The 24,747-nt window shown below is 49.4% G+C and overlaps 1 protein-coding gene across 18 annotated transcripts in view, besides 7 other annotated features; it reads right to left on the reverse strand.

The window, feature by feature from the left end:
* The window catches only part of DLG5 (discs large MAGUK scaffold protein 5), a 149,946-nt gene that overhangs the window by 54,831 nt on the left and 70,368 nt on the right, over nucleotides 1-24,747 (reverse strand). For 10 of the 18 annotated variants that reach the window (XM_047425998.1, XM_006718056.4, NM_004747.4 and 7 more), the window contains exons 2-5: nucleotides 23,508-23,576; nucleotides 11,109-11,271; nucleotides 8,606-8,749; nucleotides 7,733-7,916 (exon numbers count right to left, since the gene is read on the reverse strand). In XM_047425998.1, coding sequence (XP_047281954.1) covers nucleotides 7,733-7,916; nucleotides 8,606-8,749; nucleotides 11,109-11,271; nucleotides 23,508-23,550 — 534 coding nt within the window. In that variant the 5' untranslated portion in view covers nucleotides 23,551-23,576. The other 8 variants (XM_017016913.2, XM_005270276.5, XM_047426000.1 and 5 more) reach the window with 8 other exon arrangements.
* Nucleotides 8,192-8,693: an enhancer, noted in NCBI's record as "H3K4me1 hESC enhancer chr10:79613571-79614072 (GRCh37/hg19 assembly coordinates)". NCBI's record gives its function as "activates a minimal SCP1, AML or CMV promoter by ChIP-STARR-seq in naive H9 embryonic stem cells {active_cell/tissue: H9 hESC(naive)}" and the evidence as "EXISTENCE:reporter gene assay evidence [ECO:0000049][PMID:30033119]".
* Nucleotides 8,694-9,193: an enhancer, noted in NCBI's record as "H3K4me1 hESC enhancer chr10:79614073-79614572 (GRCh37/hg19 assembly coordinates)". NCBI's record gives its function as "activates a minimal SCP1, AML or CMV promoter by ChIP-STARR-seq in naive H9 embryonic stem cells {active_cell/tissue: H9 hESC(naive)}" and the evidence as "EXISTENCE:reporter gene assay evidence [ECO:0000049][PMID:30033119]".
* Nucleotides 10,710-11,233: an enhancer, noted in NCBI's record as "H3K27ac-H3K4me1 hESC enhancer chr10:79616089-79616612 (GRCh37/hg19 assembly coordinates)". NCBI's record gives its function as "activates a minimal SCP1, AML or CMV promoter by ChIP-STARR-seq in primed H9 embryonic stem cells {active_cell/tissue: H9 hESC(primed)}" and the evidence as "EXISTENCE:reporter gene assay evidence [ECO:0000049][PMID:30033119]".
* Nucleotides 11,234-11,757: an enhancer, noted in NCBI's record as "H3K27ac-H3K4me1 hESC enhancer chr10:79616613-79617136 (GRCh37/hg19 assembly coordinates)". NCBI's record gives its function as "activates a minimal SCP1, AML or CMV promoter by ChIP-STARR-seq in primed H9 embryonic stem cells {active_cell/tissue: H9 hESC(primed)}" and the evidence as "EXISTENCE:reporter gene assay evidence [ECO:0000049][PMID:30033119]".
* Nucleotides 18,060-18,819: an enhancer, noted in NCBI's record as "H3K27ac-H3K4me1 hESC enhancer chr10:79623439-79624198 (GRCh37/hg19 assembly coordinates)". NCBI's record gives its function as "activates a minimal SCP1, AML or CMV promoter by ChIP-STARR-seq in naive and primed H9 embryonic stem cells {active_cell/tissue: H9 hESC(naive and primed)}" and the evidence as "EXISTENCE:reporter gene assay evidence [ECO:0000049][PMID:30033119]".
* Nucleotides 20,337-21,094: an enhancer, noted in NCBI's record as "H3K27ac-H3K4me1 hESC enhancer chr10:79625716-79626473 (GRCh37/hg19 assembly coordinates)". NCBI's record gives its function as "activates a minimal SCP1, AML or CMV promoter by ChIP-STARR-seq in naive H9 embryonic stem cells {active_cell/tissue: H9 hESC(naive)}" and the evidence as "EXISTENCE:reporter gene assay evidence [ECO:0000049][PMID:30033119]".
* Nucleotides 21,634-22,833: an enhancer, noted in NCBI's record as "CDK7 strongly-dependent group 2 enhancer chr10:79627013-79628212 (GRCh37/hg19 assembly coordinates)". NCBI's record gives its function as "activates an origin of replication core promoter dependent on BRD2, BRD4, P300/CBP, MED14 and CDK7 cofactors, with strong dependence on CDK7, by STARR-seq in HCT116 cells {active_cell/tissue: HCT116}" and the evidence as "EXISTENCE:reporter gene assay evidence [ECO:0000049][PMID:35650434]".

The raw sequence follows: 24,747 nt of genomic DNA on the forward strand, positions 1-24,747 counted from the left end.
AGGAAGGGGAGGAGAAAGAGAAAGAGAGAGAAAGAAAGGGAAAGGAGGGAGGGAGAGAGGGAGGGAGGATTGGTTCATTTCAGGCTCATTCTTTTTCCTTTATTTATTTTTAAAGCAGAACATTTTCTTTCAAGGGAAATCTTACTAGTACACCAAAAATACAGAACTTATTTTAAAAAGCAGTACACAGGTATCTCAGGCAGTCAAAATCTTCACTGTTTTGTAAAATGGCATCACTGTTGCAAAACAGGAATGCACACTGAGAAACAGAACCTCACTGACAGTGCCCACTCTACATCTAAAATCTTTCTTTAAAAAAAAAAAAAAAAAAAAAAAGCCCTGGCCAGGCACAGTGGCACATGCCTGTAATCCCAGCACTTTGGGAAGCCGAGGTAGGCGGATCACCTGAGGTCAGGAGTTTGAGACCAGCCTGACCAACATGGTGAAACCTTGTCTCTACTAAACATACAAAAATTAGCTGGGCGTGGTGGCGGGCACCTGTAATCCCAGCTACTCGGGAGGCTGAGGCAGGAGAATTGCTTGAACCCAGGATGCGGAGGTGGCAGTGAGCCGAGATCACGCCATGGCACTCCAGCCTGGGTGACAAGCGCGAGACTTCGTCTCAAAAAAAAGACGAAGAATGGGCTCACCATGACTATACTGGGTCAGTGAAGGACAGTCCTGACATCTGGTCAACCAACGCCTTCTACCCACATCTGGAAAGGTCCAGCATCTAAACTGGATTGCCCTGATTGGTGAGCAATACCTCAAAAATGCCAATTAAAAATTACTTCAGGCCGGGCGCAGTGGCTCACGCCTGTAATCCCAGCACTTTGGGAGGCCGAGGTGAGCAGATCACAAGATTGGAAGTTCCAGACCAGCCTGGCTAACATGGTGAAACCCTGTCTCTACTAAAAATACAAAAATTAGCCGGGTGTGGTGGCAGGCACCTGGAATCCCTGCTACTCCGGAGGCTGAGGCAGGAGAATTACTTGAACCCAGGAGGCGTAGGTTGCAGTGAGCCAAGACTGTGCCACTGCACCCCAGCCTTGGCGACAGAGAAATATTCTGTCTCAAAAAAAAAAATTACCTCAAATGTTTTACTGTCTAAACATCCCCTAAGCCAAGTGAGAACCCCATTGGCTCCAAATGAGTCTGCTTTGCTGGGGAACAAAGGAGGCTGTCATTGCCTGAGTTCCCCACAAGGTGGCAGCCGCGGGGAGACGAGCCAACGCTCTCCTGCAGCGGCTTCCCGCCTTCCCAGCTCAGAAACAAACTCATTCCAAAGGCAGCCTTGAAATGACACAAAGCCCGGTTCTGGGTGGTAGCCCGCAGAGCCCACCTCCACAAGTGCTCGGCAGAATCAGGAGTCTATACCATGGTTTGGCCTCTTTGCAGTCCCCTGAATGGCTAACCTTGAGGGGCCTGGATCCGGGCCTGTGTGACAATCCAGGGATGATTCAGGGCCGTGTGAATCAGGCTGCCAGCAAGGGCCGTGAGAGTGGGCCACGAATTCCCAGTGCGACAGGGTGGGTCACAGACCTCGAGGTCCTTTCAGCTGCTCCCCCCAGCCTTCATAACATGGTAGGATCCTCGGGTCAGAAGACCGAGAGAGAGAGATCAGGCCCCGTACTGCTTGCTTCCACCACGATGACGGCCACCCTCGGCCTGCTCCACAAGTGAAAGCTCCTTGGGATAGGGTCGTGCTCACCGGGAGCTACTCCGCCTCCCTGCAACTCCTAACCTCTGGTTCTCACTCTAGCCTTGGAGTCAAACAGAATAACCTGTTCCCACAGGGCAGCATCCAGATACTCAAAGAGGCTCGCAGGCCCCAAACACTTCTCACCCTTTCTCTACAAACAGGACTCAGTGCCAGGCCTGTACTATGTAACCAACAGCCTCTGAACAAAGCTGGGGAACCAGGTCATGGTTAACTCCGGAGAATCCAAAAAACTAAATCTATTGGTCTAGAATTTTTCCCTCTCGCCATCAGAGGATTATGTTCTTGGTAGGTATTTCCACATGCACATGCACACACGAGTGCGCACACACACACACACACCTAACTACAGTCAAATGTTTAGCTTCCCAGCAAAAGCTAATGAAGAGAGAATATTTAAATTTGGCCCAGAATTCTAAAATTAAAGTGATCACAGTTCACTGCAACCTCAACCTCCCAGGCTCAAGTGATCCTCCTGCCTCCGCCTCCCAAGTAGCTGGGACCACAGACACGCCCCACCACACCTGGCTGATTTTTTATTTTTTGTAGAGATGGGGGTCTCACTATGTTGCCCAGGCTGGTCTTGAACTCCTAGACTCAAGTGATACACCCACTTTGGCTTCCCAAAGTGCTAAGATTACAGGCGTGAGCCCTGAGCCTGGCCTGAGAGTCAACTTTTCCACTCAGGCAGGCAGCAGTCTTTAGAGATGATGTCCCTCCAGCCTGAGCACGGGACAGTTGGCCTGTGAGTTCAAGGGGCTTAGGAGAAATGGGTGGAAGTTGCACAGGGGAGGCACAAAGACAGCCACAGTCTAAGCTGTTCCCTGCAGGGAGGCCAGGAAGAGACCAACCCTCCTACCTGTACCCTACATTGGTCAGAACACTCCTCTGTGGGCTTCTCTGTAAGGGATGCCCTTCAGCAACCAGGAAACCCCTCTCCTCTCTTCCTTCCTCCAGGCCCATCAAAGGGCATTCATTCAGGATACCTGGGACAAGAAAATCAACTTTCATGAATTACAAGAGAAAGTATATTTTAAAGACAGGGGAAAGGGCAAGGAGGAGGAGAGAGAAGACTCTCGGGGCCTGAGAGGTTTCCCAAATAGATTAGCAGGACCTAGGAGAACATGTGCACTGCCCTGGTCCCAGGAATTCTACCTGTAAGGCTCAAACTTCAAAACATGTGTGCAAAAGAACACAAAGACATGTGTGTCCACTGAAACATGGTTTGTAACATGGGAAGATGTTGACCACCAAGACGCTCCACACAGAATTCGATTAACACCTGACAGACAACAAAACAAGCAAGGACCTTTTTGTATGTGCAAATTCACAGAAAATGTAAGGAAACCCATGATATATTGTAGGATTTTTTTTTAAAGCAGGTTTCAGGGAATAAAAATTAAACTATATGGGTATTAAATGTGACATTAAAAAAAAAATCTACAAGGATACACATCCATCCCAATGGTTTACACAGAGGATGGTCATTTCCACAAAGCTAGGCTGGATCTGAGTAGGTGGGTGGCTGCCCACATTGGTTGAAGATTTTTTTTCTATTTTAACTAAAGAATACACACTATTTTAGTAAAGAAAAAAGATGCAAAAACACCCTCTACTTAGATTCCCCAACCAAGCCTTGTCAGGGTCTTCTGGGCATTCTTGACACAGCCTAGAAGAATCCAAGAAGGTGCACTCGGACTGCCCAAACCCAGAGATGGGGATGCCAGGCAGAGGCCCTCCCCAGCAAAACACACATATGGACAAAACACCTGTGTGCTGCTCTCAACCATGGCGCCCCCTCCCCTAGGGCTGCCTCATTTCCTCTGAGATAAATCATGCAGAGGGCCGGGAAGCCCCACAAATCCCTCAAGCAAACACTCAAGTCAAACAGCACCATTTACCCTGCAAGGGCCTCTTCAAGTTTACAAGGCGTGGGAGGAACCCGGCAACAAAACTGCCCTTGTCCAGAGAGGTTGACCTTTGCCCTTGGGCCCAGCGGGGAGCAAGCCTGTGGCCATCCCCTTATCCCCGCTTCCTCTGCTGCTGGCCTACTGCCACCTGAGCATCCCACAGCCAGGCATCCACTCCACGCCTGATGAAGGCAAGGGGGCCCAGGATGCCAGGACGCGGGGCTGGTCGCCCAGCAGCTCTGAGATGCTCCCAGCCCTGCTCCCTGTGGCAGCCAGGCCTCTTCTCCTGGTGGGGTCTGGAGGTGGTGTTTGCTGAGAGGCACTGGTCCAGCTGAACTGACCTGGGGGACCCCAATGACCAGGATGCATCCCCACCCCCGCCCCTGCTGCCAAGGACCACAACGGTAGGAAAAGGAGAGCAGGGAATGGGCTGCAAGGTGGGGGAAGAAGACCCTCCCCTGTGAGGCAGACAGGAAAGGGAGAGGGGGACAGGGGTGGGAGGGAGACCTCAGTCTGAATGTCTGTAAAGCTGAGCAGGTGCTCAAGAAAGTCAGAGAACGGGAGACAAGGAAACTTTACGCTTCTTGAGGGCAGAGTGCTCCTTCTAAAAAAATAATATTTTCAATTAAACAATTTCTTGTAGAGATAGTCTATGTTGCCCAGGCTGATCTTGGACTCCTGGAATCAAGGGATCCTCCTGCTCCTTCCAAAGTGCTGGGATTACAGGTGTGAGCCACTGTACCCAGACTGGATTTCTCTATTTATGACAAGGTGAAATTCTGAGTCTTTTTTTTTCCTCTCTGAGTTATAATTTACATACCACACAAAGTATGCAATTCAGTGTTTAATATATTCACAAGGTTATGAATCCACAAAGTTGTGCAGCCACTACCACTATCTAATTCCAGAACATTTTTATCACCCCAAAAAGAAACCAATACCCATCAGCAGTCACTTCCCAAACCCCAAGCCCAAGACAGCCACAAATCTGCTTTGTGTCTACATAGATTTCCCTGTTGTGGACATTTCATGTACCTGGAATCATAGTTTGTGGTCTTTTTGCTGGTTTCTTTCATTGGCTGTCATGTTTTTGAAGTTCATCCACACTATAGCATGGATCAGTACTGCATTCCTTGTTATGCTGAATAATATTCCATTGTATGGATAGATCACATTTTATTTATCCATTCATCGGTCAGTAGACCTTTGGGTTGTTACCGGTTTTGGGCTGCTATGAATATTCACACCTCAAGTTTCTGTGTGGACGTATATTTTCAGTTCTCCTGGACACCTAGGAGTGTCGCTGGGAGGTCACCTGTTAGCTCTGTTTAGTTTTTTGAGGAATCACTAGGCTGCCTTTCACAGTGGCTGTATCATTTATTCCCACCAACAACATATGCAGGTCCCAATTTCTACACATCCTGGATGAGGCAGATTTAAACCCAGACTTGACAGGATTAGAATAATATCATTAACGACCACAACACTGACTGAGCGCCTCATACACACGGGCACGCGGCGCCAGTGCCTTCTACGCAGTGTCTTCATGACAGCCATACAGACCAATTCTCCTACACTGAGATGTGCCAACCTCGTGCTTTCTAGCAAGGCTGTGGGGCTTCCCTTGGACCGAGGTGGAGCCACATACACCTCTGAAATGATGATTCTCTCAAGGAAGTATAGAATCCAAACTAAACCCCAAGGCAAAAGGTTACCTGAGCCAAGCGTAGACCAAGAAGAACAAACTGCCGGCAGGCAAAACAGCAAGAAAACAAAGCACACAGCAGGGTGTAGGTAAAGGCCGGGAGAGGCCGCCTGCCCTCAGGTGGGGGAAGTTACCACGCACCCCAGGGCAGAGAAGGGGCTCAAACCCTTAGAGGGCCATCCCCTCGGGCAGCTTCCTGGGAGCTTTGTTTTGACACAGCACCGCCATCCTTACCTGCTTCACACGCAAGATTCCTCCACAGGATTTCTTTTGAGGTTAAAAATATTTTTGCCTCTTTAGAAACTGAAAACCTACAGTCTTTAAATCTGTTTGCTCCAGGAAGCTCCACTGACATGCACAAGGAAGGGTCCCTGCAGGGGGAATGGGTTGTGGGCAGTACTGACCAGAGCTAGCACGGCACTTTCTACTCTCTCATTTCATCCTTAGAGAAATGCTCCAAGAGCACCACCCCCACCTCCTGAATCTATAAAGGGTGGGAAGCATGTTGTCACAGCTTCTCTGTGCCATGCAGCAGGTGCGAGAAGGGACAGTCTTCCTGCTGCCGGCTTTCCATTACCAAGGCTCAGTCAAGACCTATGGGCTAAATACCAACTTTTGCCCCAGCCACTGGGCCTGACCTCACACGACCAATTCCCCTAATCAGAGGGCACATAAAAAATACTTCTAATAGCTCCAAGTATATCCATCTTAGGGTCTCTTGCTGAGCCTGCCCTGGTTACTCCACATAAAACCTCAATCAATATCGGAGAAAGGAAAATAAACAGCAACTTTTTCAACAGAAGCAAGTTTTTCAATGGAATACAGTTTCATTGGAATATGGAATACTCCTTTTATCTAAACAATTAAACCTTAAAGCCATTAGGCAAAGCAGAGCAAGACAAGGACCTACACTAGGGCAGGTCGCCCCAGAGGGGATATCACAGCTGGCATGGAAAGAGGAGTGGGTCCTGGCATGGCATGAGGAGACCAGGCCTGACAGAGAGAAGGCATGGGGTGGAAGAGCCCACAAAGGGTCAGGAGGAGATGGGAACAGGATGGGGGACTGCAGAGGGCATGGGAGGCAGCTACACATGGGGGATTGACCAAGTAAACAAATTAAGAATAACAGGAATTGGCTGGGTGTGATGACTCACACCTGTAATCCCAGCACTTTGGGAGGCCAAGGTGGGTGGATCATGAGGTCAGGAGATCGAGACCATCCTGGACAACATGGTGAAACCCTCTCTCTACTAAAAATACAAAAATCAGCCGGGTATGGTGGCATGTGCCTGTAGTCCCAGCTACTAAGGAGGCTGAGGCAGGAGAATCACTTGAACCCAGGACGCAGAGGTTGCAGTGAGCCAAAATCACACTACTGCACTCCAGCCTGGGCGACAGAGCGAACTCTGTCTCAAAAAAAATAAATAAATAAAATAACAGGAATCACATTTGTCACTGTTTGTTTGTTTGTTTGTTTGAGGCAGAATCTTGCTCTGTCACCCAGGCTGGAGTGCAGTGGCGCAATCTTGGCTCACCGCATGCTCTGCCTGCCGGGTTCACGCCATTCTCCTGCCTCAGCCTCCCAAGTAGCTGGGACTACAGGTGCCCACCACCACGCCCGGCTAATTTTTTGTATTTTTAGTAGAGATGGGGTTTCGCCATGTTAGGATGGTCTCGATCTCCTGACCTCGTGATCTGCCTGCCTCGGCCTCCCAAAGTGCTGGGATTACAGGCGTGAGCCACCGCACCCAGCCTTGTCACTGATGTTTTTAAAGGAAGTTACAAAAATAAAAGAGGTGGAAACCAAAATGAACCTGTGGTCTTGGATTAGAATTGAAAATGTCAATGCGAACTCATGGCTTTCAATCTACCTGTCTGATATAGAAATACAGATATACATATGTGTATGTATGTATGTATATGTGCCTGTGTGTATGTGTACACTTAGCTACTCCCTACTTCTTTCCACTAAGAGGGCCGGGAAACAGTGCCAACCCAAGCTACAAGCACATCCAGCAATTGGTTGGCTGTGTTTTTTTTATCAGAGACAGCGTCTCACTCCTTCGCCCAAGCTGGGGTGCAGTGGCATGATCATAGCTCACTATAACCTCAGATTCCTGGGCTCCAATGATCCTCCTGCCTCAACCTCCTGAGTAGCTAGGACTACAGGTGTGCCACCATGTCCAGCTAATTTTTTTTTTTTTTTTGTAGAGATGGGATCTTGCCATGTTGCCCAGGCTCATCTCAAGCAATCTCTCACCTTGGTCTTCCAAAGCGCTGGGATCACAGATGTGAGCCAACGTGCCCGGCCCAGCATTTACTTCTCAATACTATTCTCCATTAAAAGGAATGAGGACTACTTGGGAGAAATGGCCAGTCTCCAGGGGCTGGGCCTACCTGCTGCTGCTGGGCACGGAGGTCACCGATCTCCTTCTGGTCCTCCTCGTGGAGCCGCTTCATGTCCTCCCATGACTGCTGCAGCAGGTTTCGCTCCCGCAGCAGCTGCCCATTCTCCCGCCTCAGCATGTCCACGTCATCCTTCAGCCGAGTCTGGTCACTCAGGAGCCGGCTGTGGAGTGTGCTGAAACACCCGGTACATGCTCAGTGAGCCCCAGCCAGCCCCTCACACCCCGCCCCACCCCAGGGCATCACCAGCCTCAGGTCCCAACACTTCCCGTAGATACAGCGGACAGGAGCCAATGGCAGGTAGGTCTGTAGCACTCAGAGGCAAGCCAAAACCTGCTAACAGCCCAATTCCAGAAACATCCAAATCACCACTTACAAACCTGACACCAAAAAGGGCACATGTATCTCCAGGGAAGGGAGACAGGCCCCTCTGGTACAGACCTAGTGCCTCCAAATACTGGGGCCTGGACAGATATCAGCAGGTGGGCAGGCAAAGACCCTCAGAGGGATGCTGGGAGACCAAAGGGAAACACCCCTTGGGCCTACCCTACAGGAAGAAGCTGCAGTAGGGCCCCTGGACAGAGACCCAGAGGCCTGCCTGAGCCCTGCTGCATGTTCTGAATCACTTTCATGCCTGCCAGGTCTCTGAAGCTGGCAATAAGATGTGAAGGATTAATAGCCTTGTTTTACACTTAGGAAAACTGAGGCCCAAAGGCACAAATCCACCTGCTGTAGGCAGACTGCTTGCTCTTGCACAGGGACAGGACTAGAACCAGAACCCCTGGCTACTAAGTCCAGAGAAAAGAAGGGCAAAGGCAGCTGTCTGTGGGTGTTGGAGGCCCTGGCCAAGCAGGCCTCACTCACTGGTAGAAGTCAGTCTCCTTGGCCACCTCCTCACACCTCTTCAAGGCGTTGGTGTGCTGGTTCTGCAGGCTCTGCAGGTCCGACATGGCTCGCACGCACTGGATCTTCAGCCTCTCATAGTCAGGATTCAGCCTGTGGTAGGGCCTGGCCCAGAGAGCGAATGGCCCCATGAACACAGGCCCCAGGATTCACACGGATAGAGGAACCAGGTCCTGGATTAGGCCAGCCCAGTGGTTCCCCAGTACTGGTCTTCTATGCACCACACACACCTGGGTGTTTGTTAAACTCAGATATCCTGGCCTCACTCAGACCCACAGAATCAGAATCCCTAGGATGGAGGGAGCCGTGGTTGCCTGAGCTCCCTGCATGGGCCTGGAGAGCTAAGAAGGTGCCAACTTGTTCTGCAGGAGCTTCCAGGAGTCTGTACAACAGGTCTGAGTCCACCAGAAACCTGTGATGAAATGTCTCTTCTCTGTAGGCTCGGCGTGACAGCTCGTGCCTGTAATCCCAGCACTTTGGGAGGCTGAGGCAGGTGGATCACTTGAAGCCAGGGGTTTGAGACCAGCCTGAGCAACATGGTGAAACCCCGCCTCCACAAAAAAAAATACAAAAATTAGCCTGGTGTGGTGGCATGTGCCTGTAGTCCCAGCTACTCAGGAGGCTAACGTGGGAGGATCACTTGAGCCCAGGAGGTCGAGGATGCAGTGAGCCGAGATCACACCACTGCACTCCAGCCTGGGCAACAGAGAGGATCCTGTCTCAAAAATAATTACTAAATAAATAAATAAATAAATAAAAGTAAAATATTAAAGAAAAGAAATTTCTCCTCTCTTTAGAACAATGACTCTCAATCTTGGGTACACATTAAAATACCAATGCCCAGGTCAATTACATTAGCATATCTGAGGATAAAACCCAAACGTGAGGATTTTTTAAAAACTCCCCAGGGTATTCCAATGTGCAACCAAGGTTAAGAACACTGGCCATGAGCAGTGATCTCAGAGTGGGGTTCCCAGACCTGCAGCACAGTATCACCTGGGAACTTGTCACAAATAGACATTCTCAGGCCTAGCCCCAGCCCCAGCCCTCCTGAGTCAGGTGTTCTGAAGGGAGGGAAAGAGAGGCAATGATCTGTGCATTAACAAGCTCTGTGGATGATTCTGGTGCATGCTCAAGTTTGAGGACCCTTTTTCTAGAGCAGAGGTCAGCAAACTTTTTTTGCAAAAGGCCACACAGTAAATACTTTAGGCTTTGCACACTACATAGTTTCTGTTGCAACCACTCGACTCCACCTTTGTAGCAGGAAAGCAGTCATAGACACTTTGTAACCAATGAGCATGGCTGTGTTCCAATAAAACTTCATTTATAAAACAGGCAGTGGGCCCGTGGGCCATAGTGTGCCAACTCTCATGTGCTAGCACATCCACGTCTTCACTCATCCTGCCTTCGGGCCAACTGACTGAGGGGCATATCCTCATGAATACAAGCTCAGGGATCAGGCTCTGCAGCTCTGGCATAATCCCAGAGGCACAAAGTGCAGAGGCATAGACCCTTACTCCTGAAGGAAAGAGGTGAAACTGAAGTGTTTACACCAAGCCCCCCTCCCCTCCAGACCTCTACCAGCATGGGAGCTAAAGGATAAACCACTCTCTGGCCCTCCTCCTTCCCAGAAAGTCCTCTTAGATCATGCAGGTAGATAAAGACTCTCTCTGCCCCACCCTATGGGCCACCCTTCCCTGGTATCTACCTCTAAATCACAACAAAAGCAGCAAACATTTTCTTCAAAGCAACAAAGACACCAGGTACAATGTGCTCTGTTTAAAACACATCATGTGGGGCCAGACACTGTGGCTCACGCCTGTAATTCCAGCACTCTGGGAGGCCAAGGCAGGAGGATCACTGGAGCCTAGAAGCCCAAGACCAGCCTGGGCAAAAAAGAAAGACCCTGCTGCTACAAAAAAATTAAAAAAAAAAAATTAGTTGGGCATGGTGGCACACACCTATAGTCCCAGCTACTTGGAAGGCTGAGGTGGGAGGTTCACTTGAGCCGGGGAGGTCAAAACTGCATTGAACCATGATTGTGCCACTGCATTCTAGCCCAGGCAACAGAGCAAGACCCCGTCTCAAAAAACAAATAAAACACATGTGTGACAGGGAACAATTAATATGTTTACCAACCACATAAAGCTTCACTCAACTTAGGCAGGTCTAGGAGACAGTGGTAGGGACACACACACACACACACACACACACGAGCTGACTTTGCACACAAGCACACCACTATCAGGGGCCTTGCCACATGTGGGATGGGGACCTGCCCCACAAGAAGCCTGTGGGTCCTGCCCCTGGGAAGCATTTCTGGACATGAGGTGGGGGAAAGGGGACACTCAGGCAGCGCAGCCTGGACCCCCAGGAGCCAGGGGTGTTTGGGGGTGACAGCACCAGCATCGGGGTAGTAATCCCAACCATGGGGCCTGGGCAGGGGAGACGGCGCAATTACTACCTCTTGTCAAAGGCCGTGCCATGCGTAGCAAAGGCCAGGCGCTTGCGGAGCTCGTTTCTCTCCCGGGTCATCAGCCGCAGCTGAATGGAGAGGTTCTCCACCTTCTCATTCACTTGCTGGTCAGTGAGGAGGGGTGGTGGGGACGGCGCCTTCCCGGTAGTGCCTGTGGAAGGGGAATAATAAAGTGAACTTGTGTTCATCTGGCATTCACGAGGCGCCCGGTGCTGTCCTGAGCTGTTGGCTTGTGTTAGCTATTCGTGACCCAACAAGTGGGTCCTCTTAGCATTCCCCTTTCACAGATGAGAACACTGAGCCACAGACGGTAGCAGGTAGAACTGAAAGTGAGTGCAGGGCATCTGGCTCCAGCATCCAAGCACTCAACAACCCCCAGTAACCACCCCAGCAAGGACCCTGAAGACGCGCACTCTCTCCCCAACCTGGCTTTCACACCTCCAGGATGCGACTGTTTTGGCCGTGATCCTTGCATCCTCCCCTGGTTTGGAAATATCAGCTGTTACCCACCACTAAGCCTGGCACATGGAGCAGGACAGACCAACCTGTGCCCTGAGGAGAGTGGAAGGCATGGCTCGAGGAGAAAGGCACACCTGAAATCCAATGACGCTACTAAGGACCAGGGCAGCTGGGGCCCAAGGGCCGTGTCCCCGCCCTCCTCGACCAGGGCTGGACAGTGCACGGCTCCCTTTTTGCAAGCCGTCCACCCGCCTGAAAGACCTGCCCAACCAGCCCAGGCGTGCAGGCTAAGAGGAGGGCTGCTGGCTCCCAGCTGAGGTCAGTGTGACGCAATTCAAGTTGGTCCTGATGCCTCCAGGCTACTTAACCCTCACCAGCCCTCATCAACCACCCTAGGACTGAGTGTCCTACAGGGAGCCCCACACCTTATGCTCCTAGCAGGCAACAGCCACCGCTGCCACCACCACCTCTGATAAGATCCAAATCCATCTCTAGGAAGAAAGCACCTCATCCCAGGAGAAGAGACTAATCCATGGTGCTTTTATATTGAACCCTGTCAATATGTCTACCTGATATCTCAATCAACCCTTAGAGACCCTTGTTGGGGTCAGAGGAGCTCACAGCAACCATCCAATTTGTGGATGGGATCTGGCAGGCTGACTCGTGTCAGGGGACACAGTGTCTGTTCCGCACTGGACCCACAACGCACAAAGGGCATAGGACATGATAGGTCTTCTGATTCTCTGTGCTGTCCTGACCACCCCTGTCCCACTGATCCTTGTTGGTCAAATGTTCATGCAAACCAAGAGTCCCCCAACCCAAGACAAAAGCAGTGGCTTGGGGCCTTCCAGAAGGGCCAGGGAGGATAGGGAGCTCAGGGCCAGGCATGACAAGCCAGACCACAGTGGGAGGAGGATCCTCAACTCCCAGTGCTGTGCTTTTCAGTCTTTTCAGGTTGTGGAACCCCAACCACTTGACTCCAGCACCCCCTGAAATGCACGACAGTCATGTGCCACATAACAACGTTTCAGTCAATGATGGTGGACCACATGTAGGATGTGGTCCCATAAGATTATAATAGAGTTAGAAACAAAAGAAATATGTATTAAAAAAAAAAGATTAAATCACATCTCTACAAAAAATACAAAAATTAGCCAAGAGTGGTGGCTCATGCCTGTAATCCAAGCACTCTGGGAGGCCAAGGCAGACGGATCCCTTGAGCTCAGGAGTTTGAGACCAGCCTGGGCAACATGGCGAAACCCCGTCTCTAGCAAAAAATACCAAAAAATTAGCTGGGTGTGGTGGCACGTGCCTAGAGTCACAGCTACTTGGGAGGCTGAGGTGGGAGGATCGCCTGAGCCCAGGACGTCAAGGCTGCAGTGAGCCGAGATCACACCACTGTATTCCAGCCTGGGTGACAAAGCAAGAACTTCTCTCTAAAAAAAATAAATTAAAAGATTACCATGGAGATGAAAAATTCCTGTCACCTAATGACGTCTTGTTGATCCTGACCCTCTGTAGCCCTAGGCTAATATATGAATATATTTGTGTCTTAGTTTTTAACAAAAAAAGTACAAAAAAATTAAACATTTTTAAAATAGAAAAAGCCTATAGAATAAGGATATAAAGAAAGAAAATATTCAGCTGTACAATGTGTTTGTGTGTATTCTTTTTGTGTGTGTGTGTTTTTTTGAGACAGGGTCTTGTTGTCACCCAGGCTGGAGTACAGTGGCGCAGTCTCAGCTCACTATAACCTCTGCCTCCTGGGCTCAAGCGATCCTCTCACCTCGGCCTCCTAAGTAGCTGGGACTACAGGCATGTGCCACCACACCCAGCTAATTTTTTTGTATTTTTTGTTAGAGACGGGGTATCGCTATGTTGCCCAGGCTGGTCTCAAACTTCTGAGCTCAAGGGATCTGCCTGCCTTGGCCTCCCAAAGTGGTCGGATTACAGGCGTGAGCCACCACACCCGGCCCAATGTGTTTGTGTTTTAAGCTAAGTGTTATTACAAAACAGTCAAAAAGTTAAAAAAATATAAAGTTTATAAAGTAAAAAAGTTACAGTAAGCAACAGTTTACTATTGAAGAAGGAAAAATATTTTCTGTAAGTCGAATATAGCCTAAGTGTACAGTGTTTACAAAGCCTACAGCGGTGTACAGTCATGTTTTAGGCCCTCACATTCTCTCTCCACTCACTCACTGACTTACCCAGAGTAACTTCAGGTCCTGCAAGCTCCATTCATGTAAGTGCCCTGTACAGGTGGACCATTTTTTATCTTTTATTCTGTACTGTTGCTGCAGCTTTTCTTTTCTATGTATAGACACACAAATACTTACCATTGTGTTACAACTGGCTACCGTAGCCAGTACAGTACCATGCTGTACAGGTTTGCAGCTCAGGAGCAACAGGCCATATCGTGTAGCCTAGGTATGGGGTAGATACCATCTAAGTTTGTGTAAGCACACTCATGTTTACACAACAACTAAATTACCAAATGACAACGCATTTCTCAGAATGTGTCCCTGTCATTAAGCAACACAGACTGTGTTTAAAAGCCACCAGCATCATGACAGCCAGGATTTCTCTGCTCCAGGCCGCACCTTTGGGGTCAAAATATTCTTTGGCGGTGAGGCCAGGGGTCAGCATTTCCTCTCCCCAAAGGGGTCTCCTCTGCAGCTTCGAAGTCTTCCCACACCTTTCCACCAAAAGACCCTGAGCTTCACTGCTGCCCCCAGCAGTTTTGTGGGTCAGGTGGGTGATGGTGCTGAGTCATCTGACTGACCATAACCTACCTGACTCTCCAACAAGTGGAGCTTCCTTTGAACGTGCCTGCTACTCAACCTCTAACCAAGCCCAGGGGGAGGTTATGTTCCAGGCATTGATTTCACCTTCACAACAACCTCACAAGTGTGTACTGATAACATCGTCCCCATTTCACAGGTGATAAACTGAGGCCCAGCAAGGTTAGGTAATTGACTCAAGTGCCCAGGCAGTCTGGATTCTAAACACATGCACTTCACCCTCATGCCTCGGTGCCTCCCAAATAACAACCACCAGTAGCACACAATGCAAGCCTGGCAGGTTTTGGGTTTTTTTGGTTGGTTTTGTTTTTTTGAGACAGAGTTTCACTCTTGTTGCCCAGGCTGGAGTGCAGTGGCGCGATCTCGGCTCACCGCAACCTCCACCTCCTGGGTTCAAGCGATTCTCCTGCCTCTGCCTACCAAGTAGCTGGGATTACAGGCATGCGCCACCATGCCCGGCTAATTTTTTGTATTTAGTAGAGATGGAGTTTCACCATGTTGGCCAGGCTGGTCTCAAACTCCTGACTTCAGGTGATCCACCCACTCACCTTGGCCTCCCAAAGTGCTGGGATTACAGGCGTGAGGCACTGCACCCGGCCATGCCTGGCAGTTTTTGAAATGCTTTTCATACATTATCCCATTTCGATCCTCATAAGGTAAATATCACTGTTATCCTCATTTTGCACATCAGGAAACACAATCTTACCAAGGTTAAATAGTGTGTCCAGGTCACAGAGCTATGGAATATGGAATATGGACCTCTAAATGATCCTAGAACCCAAGGTATTAACCTCAAAACTTGCACATTTTTGGATCTTAGGACCTCTGTACTTATCTGGCACTCCAAAGAGCTCTTGTTCACAGATGTTATGTCTAATAAAATTTACAAGATTAGAAATTAAAACCAAGAAGAATTTTTAAATATTTACTTATTTTTTAAAAAATCAAAACTCCATTATATATTGACATAAGATTTTTTATGAGACATTAACCACCCTTTCCATTACAAAACAAAGCAATGCGGCAGGAACAGCATCATTGCTTTGCATTTTGTTACACAGGCTGTTTAACATCCAGCTTCACAGAGACAGCTGGAGTCTCATCTCTGTAATGTCACACACCCAGGATGGAATCTTTAGAAAACTAGACTCTACACCCATGTGAGGATGGAAGCAGAAAAGACCAGTGACATCCTAGTATCATTATGAAAACAGTCTCACCTCACGAGCCCTCTGAAAGGACCTCAGGGACATCAGGCCACACTTTCAGAATGGCTATTCTATGCTATAGTCAAGTTCAAGAAATAGCAGAGAAACATCAAATGTCCAGTTTCACAACAGAAAAGCACCACCAGGCCCAGTAACCTGCCTTTGGGGAGACAAGAAATTTTGAATTTTCATCCCCATTGTATAAACGAGGCAACATAAAGATGCAGCCCTGGCTTTCAAAGAAGCTGGAGAGAGGAGAGGAGGCGGCAGGACAGAAGGAGGGGCTCAGAGCCATCCCAACACACCCCATCTCTGTCTCCAGACGTCTCAGTCTACAGCCATGAGGACCTGGGCGTGGCTGGCCACACAGATAAAGTAGCAACGACATGTGCCAAGCACTGCCCAAGCACTGGGTTCTGTGCTAAAGACACTCTACCTTCAACTCATTAATCTCCACAGCTCCCTACTGGGGTTGTGCTAGGATTGCTCCTTGAGAAACACGTCAGAAAGACTACATGGCTAGGAAAATGGGATTCCCATGCACACTCAGCTCTGACGCCAAAGCCAACACCTCAACCACTCCACAACAATGCCTCCTAATAGGGAAGGATTCTCGTTCCACTTCTCTTGGCCCAAAGGCTTGAGCATACAGGACACATACAGAAAGTAAGGTCAACCAGACCCAAGATCCATCACACATCAGGCTCTCAGACCCAGCAGAAAGTGCAGCCGATGCCTCCGGCCTTTTGTAATTGGGGGATGGGGAGGGCCAAGGAGGGCCACAGGGGACCTCATGACCAATCTCAAGATGTGCTACGCCCAGAAGTTCCAAAAGAACAGCAAGGGTTGCAGAAAATCCTCTCAATCCCCATTCAACTGAAGTTTTTGTCTTTTTACTTGCATCTAGAGGTTGACAGATATTCTGAAAATGATGCAGTCCTACCATCCAAATGGTTGTCAGGATCCCTCAAATGGCCACCAAGACCAAATTCTACAGCAAAGGAGCTCACTACTTCCCAGCAGAGCCCATCTTATCTCTCTCCCTAAAATTATGCCCTCTACTGAGTTAATCTGTCCCTGGACATTCCCTCCACTGACCCTTGATCTAACCCCTAAGGGCCACAGGGAACAACTGGATTTCTTGTATGCAATAGACCTGCAAGCATTTGAAGACAACCATGAAGTTCCTTTACCACCATATGCCCATCAGAATGGCTAAAATAAAAAGCAATGCCACCAAATGCTGGCAAGGATACAGCTGGATTCTCAAAACTGGAATTCTCAAACACTGCTGATGAGAATACAAAGTCATGCAGCCACTTCAGAAAACAGTTTGACAGTTTCTTATAAAGCTAAACATGCAATTGCCATACCACCCAGCAATCCCATTCTTAGGTATTTTACCCAGGAGAAATGAGAATTTATGTTCAAACAAAAACCAGCACACAGCTGTTTAGAGCAGCTAGGGAATGAATAAACAACTGTGTTATGTCCTTATGATGGAGTATTACTCAGCAATGAAAAGGGATGAATGACTAATACAACTGCGGACACACACAGGGTGTGGGGGAAGCTGGAATGCCCTGCGTTAATCAAAAGAAGCCTGACTCTAAAAGCTACATACTACACAACCATTCATATGACATTCTGGGAAGGGCAACACTACAGGGACAGAAAAGAGATGAGTGGCTGCCAAGGACTGAAGGTGGGGAAAGGGCAGATTGCAAAAGTGCAGAGGGAATTTTTAAGATACAGAGGGCAGTGTTTTGCATCTTAAAAGTAGCAATGGTTGCATGACTATTTGTCAAAACTTGAACTGTATACTTACAAAAAATACATTTTACTGTATGTAAATTATATCTCAATGAACATAACCTTAACAAAAAAAAATTTCTTTTTTGAGACAGGGTCTTGCTCTGTCACCCAGGCTAGAGTGCAGTGACACAATCAAGGCTCACTACAACCTCCACCTCCTGGGCTCAAGCAATCCTCCCACCTCAGCCTCCCAAGCAGCTGGGACTACAGGGGTGTGCTACCATGCCTGGCTAATTATTATTATTTTTATTTATTGTAGCGACAGGGCCCCACTATGTTGCCCAGGCTAGTCTCAAACTCCTGGGCTCAAGCAATCCTTCTGCCTTGGCCTCCCAAAGTGCTGGGATTATAGGTTTGAGCAACCACACCTAGCCTATTTTTTTAAGAAAACCAAACTGTGATGCCCTGAATGAAGCCATCATCCTAAGAGTGATGTTGACAGGTAAAGAGATGAGGACCAACCTCCTCTGCTGTCACTGTGGTTATTTACAGTAAACTTTTTAAAAACAGGCAAAACAGAAACTAACATAAAGCTGGGTTGTCAACAAAAGCCTCCAAAGTAGCTGCCAACAAAAGCTTCCAATGCAGTTCTAACCTTGTGCAGTTGTTCTTCTGGACTCAAATGCAAAGCTGTCAACTCTCCCGTGACCTCAGGCTTTCCTTACCCAAGTCTGGCAACCACTGGAGAAGGAGGCAGATTGTCCTTTTCCTTTTGGTGTTCAGGATCAGATTTCAGAGGTAAGGGATTTGGTTTGGACTAAAATGGCCCAAAACAGGAAGACACCAGATCAGGAGCAGGCTCTGGATGGAGACAAAGAGCAGCCAGCCCTGCGCTGCTCTTTTCACCCCCATTTTGTAAAGGAGGCAACAGGAAGACACAGCCCTGCCTTACGAGGAAGCTGGAAGAGGAGAGAAGGAAGCAGGACAGAAGGAAGGGGCTCAGAGCCGTCCCAACACAACCCATCTCAGTCTCCAGCCATGAGGACCTTGGGGCGGCCAGCCTCCCTCTGACCTGGGTGTAAGAAGGAGGGCAGAAGGGAGTGTCCCCATCACAGGAATCCTCAGCTCCTTCAGTTGCCCTGGCTGCTATGGTCACCACCACCGAGGCTCAGCAAATGAACTGGCAGCTGGGTGGATTTCTCAGCCACCGCCCTTTGTCCTGGGCTCCCTCACTGTCATGCTCCCACTGACCCTGGAGGCGCATCCTTGGTCTTACAGCTGGGCAGGTCTCACCTTTGCTTCCAGGCCCTGTATGCCTGTGCTTCCAGGAGCCAGAGAGATGTCCAGGTAAACTTCCTGGCCACCTCCAGGCCCTGGCTGCCCGGGAGAGGCAAAGCAGTGGCAGAGCACAGTCATCAGAGCACCACGTCATCCTCACCTACAACTCAGGACACCCAGAGCCACAGTCATCAGAGCACCACGTCATCCTCACCTACAACTCAGGACACCCAGAGCCGTCCAGGAAAGACCCAGGCCCTGCCTGGGGTGAACGAGTGCTTCTTAAAGCACCTAAGCTTCACTAGAGAACCTGCTAGGCAAAATTTCAGGTCCCACCCAGACCCACTGAATCAGAAACCCTGGGAGTAAGTCCCTGCAGCACTCCGTGTGGTAAAAGCCCTCCGGGTGATTCCGATGCCTGCTAGAGTTTGAGAACCTCTGTTCCAGACCAAAGTTGCATTTGCATATTTCTCCTTTGTTTTACTGGCTATCCAGCAGCCACTGCCTTTAAAGAAATCCCCCACTGATGTCCTTGACAATGAAGGCCTAAGGGGGACACCCCTCTTAGTCAATGAGTACATGACTCCAGTTCAGCGTTTCCCCAGCTTGGAGTGAAAGGAGGTTAGATTCCAATGCTGGAAGCCCAGGCCCCAGATCTCCAGCCAGATCAAAGACTTGCTTTCGAACCCTTGACTCAGGGTCTGGTTTTCAGAACCCAAACCACCATAAGCAGCCATGGCCAACTACTTCCCAGCTGCATCTAGTCCAGAGCACTTTTCCTGGAAGGCCCAGTCCAAGGGCCACTTCCTCCAGGAAGCTTTCTGTGATTCCCCTCATCAGAACTAACTGCTTCTTCCCTTGAGTTACTTCTTTCTTTCTGCTCTACACAGAACAGAATAGCCAGTCGTGCCAGACAGTGCCTGTCTCCCTGGCAGTGTGATAACATTTGGGGCCGTGTTCACCGTGATCCCTATGAGTACCAAACACCTGCCCCACAAGGAGGAGGCATTCCCATCTCTGATAAATTGGCTTTGCAAAGGATTACCCCTGACCCAAAAGTCTGGGCCAGGAATGAAGGATCAGAGGTCACAGGGCGTCAGTGGCAGCCCCCACTTCCCTGATGGCTCACCCCACCTTCCCCTGTCAACCAGAAGAAGCACTTTCAAGGAATCTTCCCTGGGATATGAGAGAAGCCCTCCAGCAATTTCTCCTGCCGATAAGCCTGGAGACCTCTCCATTTAATAAGAAATCTTCTGCTATTTCAATCTTCATGGAATTTAAGGCTGGCTTTATAAGTGCTGCCCAAGAATGTCTCTTCTCCTCCTTAAAACCTCCCCAGTTTTCCAAGATGAGAAATAAAAGGCTACTGAGAAATTAGGTCAGGATGAATGGGGAGGAAAAAAGTACTGATTGCCTGAAACGAGTGTGCAGTCCCCAGGCAGATCCACCAGGTAGGGTCGGGGGCAGGTCACAACAACAGGCGCAGGAAGCGGGGGAGGGCCTCGGGGAAGCTGTGTGTGCTTAGCTGATGAAAACTGCCCGAGGAGGCCTTGGCACAAAGACCTGCTGCCTTTAAGGCTGTTGGCAAAGGTGTGGCGAGTTGTGAGTAGGGCCAGGCTGGAGATCCGAGACCCGACAGACCGCCTGAGAGAACGCTGTCTACACGCCCCAGGCTTCAGCCTCCAATTTCTTCTCATGCTGAATACAACCTGCCATTGTTTTCCCAGCCGTTTCCATTTAGGGAGATGTAAATGGAAAAGTGGAAGTGATGTTTTTATTATAAGGATCTTGCTCTTGCCTTTTCTCAGGTTCCTAAGATCACCATGTGACCTTACCAGCGGCCCCTCCTGCCAGGGCGGTGTGTGCTTGCAAAGACTTCTGCCTCTCATCAGGTGTGGCTGAGCCAGCAGGAACTCCCTGGCAGGTGCTAGAGTGCTCCCAGCCAGGGCCAGCCCCACCAGGCACTCCACCCCGAGGGACTGGTACAAGCCTGGTACAGACATTCTGGTTCCCTTCTCAGGGATGAGGTTGGGCCAGCCCATCTCAAACTGGAGGGCTATTAAGCTGTAGAAACCCTCAGCGTTTCTGATGCAGCAGGGGTGGGAGGAGGCTCAAACCTGCATCTCTAATAAGTGCCCCAGTGGTCCAGCGACCAGGCTTTGTGAGCCACTGGTTTCGGCACAAACAAGCAGCCAACTGTGGTCAATGAAAGGAGGCCATACTGATGGACTCTGGAACAGGTTCCTTTGCTCATAAGAACCCCGCCTTCTTCTTCTGCCACTCACCGCAGATGGCTACAGAGCACTTGAAATGTGGTGGATTTGCCTGAGAAACTAGAAATTTAAATTTCATTTTAATTCATTTAAATTTAAGTAGCCACCTGTGTTTAGTGGCGCCCATACTGGACACTGCAGACCTGGACACTGTCAGGTCTGGATGTGATGGCTGGAGCTGCTGCTACAGACACCCCGCCATGAGACTGTGTGAAGACACCACACAGAGGAGGGCAGAGCTGCATCCCCATGTACTGGCTGACCTCAGCACAGCCTCATATGGGAGCTCATACATTTCCTGATTGGTTAAGGTGGTATGAGTGGGTGTTCCCTGCTGCCTGCACCCAAAGGACAATGGCAATCTCAAGCAGAAGAGCAAGAGAAGCAAAACTCGGTTCCCTGTGAACTCAAGAGGCTTTGCCCAGAAGGGATGCAACCAGTTATTTCAGCATTAAATATCCAGACACAGACAGTACAGACCCATCCTGCTCCAAGAAACACATCAGAGCACTGCACTCTGCCTGCCTGTGATGCCCAGGAAGAGCACAGAGATACTGTTGACGGCTCCATCGCAAGGACTGAGTCAGCTTCAGGTGAGTGCAGAACCAACTGGTGGGTCACGGCCATGACGCTTCTTCCAGAATATGCTGGGGTCCAGCTGCCCAAGAAATATCTTCCTACTCAGGCTGGGAATTCCACCATCAGCAGTAATTGCTATGGGTTAGGCAAATACCCCTCTCTGGAATCCCCTTTTAGAATGCACATGTGCCTAGGAAAGGTAACGATTTAACCCTTGAAATGCCGATGGGAATGAGTTTACTGATTGCTATCTGTTAGACAGATATTGGTGAAGGGTGAAAAACTAGACAGGTCAGAGGAGTATGCTCAGGGCTTACCCAGTCCACCTTAAAAAGCCTCACCTTCCCCATCTACTGATCCTGACTGCCCCACTCCATGCACTTCCTGAAGGGTGAGTCCCACATTCCAAATTCCAACAATCCCATCATTCCATTGATATGTCTCCGGGCACCAAAAGCAGGCAGAACAAAGTAATAGGATACCGTTGGGAGCTTTGAATTGCAGTCCCAGAAGGGCCTGCCCTGAGCCCTAAACAGGATGAGGGTTATGGGAGGAACTGTGTTTTTATGGGTGGAGTTGTGGCCCCCCAAAAGATGCTAAAGTCCCAATCCAGTAAATGTGAATGTGAACCTTATTTGGAAAGGTCAAAGCGTTATCTTTCCGAGGCGCATTTGCATTCTAAAAGGGGAGTCCCGAGAGGGACACTGCTCAGCCCACAGCAGTTATTGCTGATGGTGAAATAGTCTTTACAGATGATCAATTTAAGATGAGGTCTTGCTGCCGTAAGGCAGGCTCCTAGGCCAATCTGACCAGTGTCCTTATTAAAAGGGGAAATTTGGAGACAGACACACATGGACGGAGAACATCATGTGAACACAAAGGCAGAGATCAGTGTGATGTCGGCAAACCAAGGAGCACCAAGGATTACCAGCAAGCCACCAGAAGCGAGGAGAGAGGCCCGGGACAGATCTCTCCCTAGCGCCTTCAGCCTGCGTGGCCTCACTGACACTTTGATCTTGGGCTTCTGTCCTCCAGAACTGTGAGACAATCAATTTCTGCTGTGTAAGCCACCTGGTCTGCGGCACTTTGTTATAGCAGCCCTAGAAAACTAAGATGGAACTCGCCGGCTGGTCACTGTCTTCCCTCTTATCACACTACCTTCCCTTACTGCAGCTACTTATTTAACTGTTTCCCACCAAAAGACCCTAACATCCAGGAGTGTGGGGCCCACATCTGCCTAATTCGCCACTACGGCCCAAGCCCACCTCTGGCACACTGGAGGTGTTCAAGATGTGAGCTGACATATGAAAGAGCTGTCCTGACTAGTTCTAGAATCTCAGGCATGTGACTCCCCCTCCCAGAATGTCAATTTCCCCATCTCTCTGCAGAGGGAAAAGAAAATAATTGGAGTAGATGACCTCTGTGAGTCCTTCGGGCTCAAAAGATGGCCGGGACTCACCACTGAAGGTGTCTGCATCCATCATGGTCAGATCAGGCCATGAGAAACCCCACTAGAGGTGCTAAACAGAGGGAATGGGTCACAGAGGTGTGGGAAGCCTGAGAAACCACTGCGGCCTTCCTGCTGGACTTCAGAGAAGGGCTGGCCTCATTTTATGGGCTTTCTGAAACCCATATTCAGAGAAACACACCCAATTCAGCATGGACTGGCAATGCCTATCCCCAAGGAAACTCCAAAAGGGGTGAGTCTCCTGGGCAGTGGTCACTGAGTTACTACAAGGCCTTTGGGGTTGGGGTGGGGATGGTGGGTCAACAGGCTCCCCTAGAAGCCCTGTGCCCTGACAAAGTAAACAATGGCAAAACATGTGCTTCCCAGCACTCACCTCCCCACCTCCTTCTAACATCAGAACTGGGTTTCTGATGATGGGAGAAAATGTAAATGAAATCAACGGAAGGATGATCCTGTGAGTAATCTGACAAGGGAGAACCAGCTTCCTCTCCCATGAACCCCAGCTGCCTTGGCTTTCACCCAGACCCCTGGCCCACCCGGTGTCCTCCCCAGACAGTGGTACTCACCCACACTGCTGAGGGAGCTGCTGCTTTCTGAGTCTGAGGGCATGGTGGACAGGACGCTGTAGGTAGAACCTGGGGAAAGAGGGGAGACCATGTTACTAACCCCAAGGGGTCACTCGTCTTCACCCCAAGCCAGCTGATCATCAGTCAATGCCAGGCCATGAGAGCTACATGCACCAGGCACTAGAAATCCACATCCACGGGCCAAGCAGAGGAGGCGCGCTCAGCAGATCTGGACTTCGGTGTTTCTGCCAGGCCTCCCACCTCACTTTATCGGCCCCTCCTGCTCTGGGCAGGCGGGCAGAGGGGAACTTGGAGTCAGTCAGCTGGCTTCTTGTTGGGACATCTGGGGAAAGGCTTAGCAAGGGAGTGACATGCCCCAGGTAAACATGGGGTGTGGGGGTTTCCTCCACATCTCTAGCAATATGATTCTGGCTTCCATGCAGAGGGTAACAGAGCAGAAATTAAAGAACAACTGAACTATCTGTTCTTTCTCTGACTGTTCTGCTCTTTAGGTTCTAACTGTATTCAAGCTCAGTTCTTAATAATTTACTTAGTATCTGCCCCCTTATTAAAAGTTACTCCTAAAATGATGAGCAATTGTACCATCACCAAAGCCAGAGGGTAGCACTTTTTTTTGTCCACACTTAATGTTAATTCCTGGTTGTGGACACACAACCACTGTGGTTTGGTTTGAATTCAAATATCTTCAAAACCAGATGTTACCCTCCCAGCACCGGGAAGCCCAGTTTCTGAACCTAGCTCTATGTAGGTGCCCATAGCTGGGTCGTGCTGAGCAAGTAGCTTTTGTTTTCTGGAACTCTGTTTCCTGGTCTGCAAAATGAAGGAGTTCAACCAGATGGCTTATAAGGTCCCTACCCCATCCCCCATCCCCCATCCCCCATCCCATTTCAGCAATTTCCATGATTAATGGAAACAGAAGGTACACTTTGCTCATCAAGACTATGGATGACATAAAATTAAAAGGGAGGGCAAACTGACTCAGAGACTAAATTGGGAGTGGACAAAGCATAACACACAGAGATGGCAGGTCAGATAAAACAAGGACAAATCCAGTGTTTTGTTCTTGGAGCCAAAAGAACTATACAATGAAGAGCGGTATGTACCAGGCCAAGTGGGTGAGCTGGAGATGGAATTTTTGCAATAAGGGCTTTGAACAAGCCTTAGGGCTCTGGCATCAGAAAGCTGCCAAGAACTAATGAGATCCTGGGCTCCACAACAA

Source organism: Homo sapiens, chromosome 10 (assembly GCF_000001405.40).
Source record: "Homo sapiens chromosome 10, GRCh38.p14 Primary Assembly".
Taxonomy (NCBI): domain Eukaryota; kingdom Metazoa; phylum Chordata; class Mammalia; order Primates; family Hominidae; genus Homo; species Homo sapiens.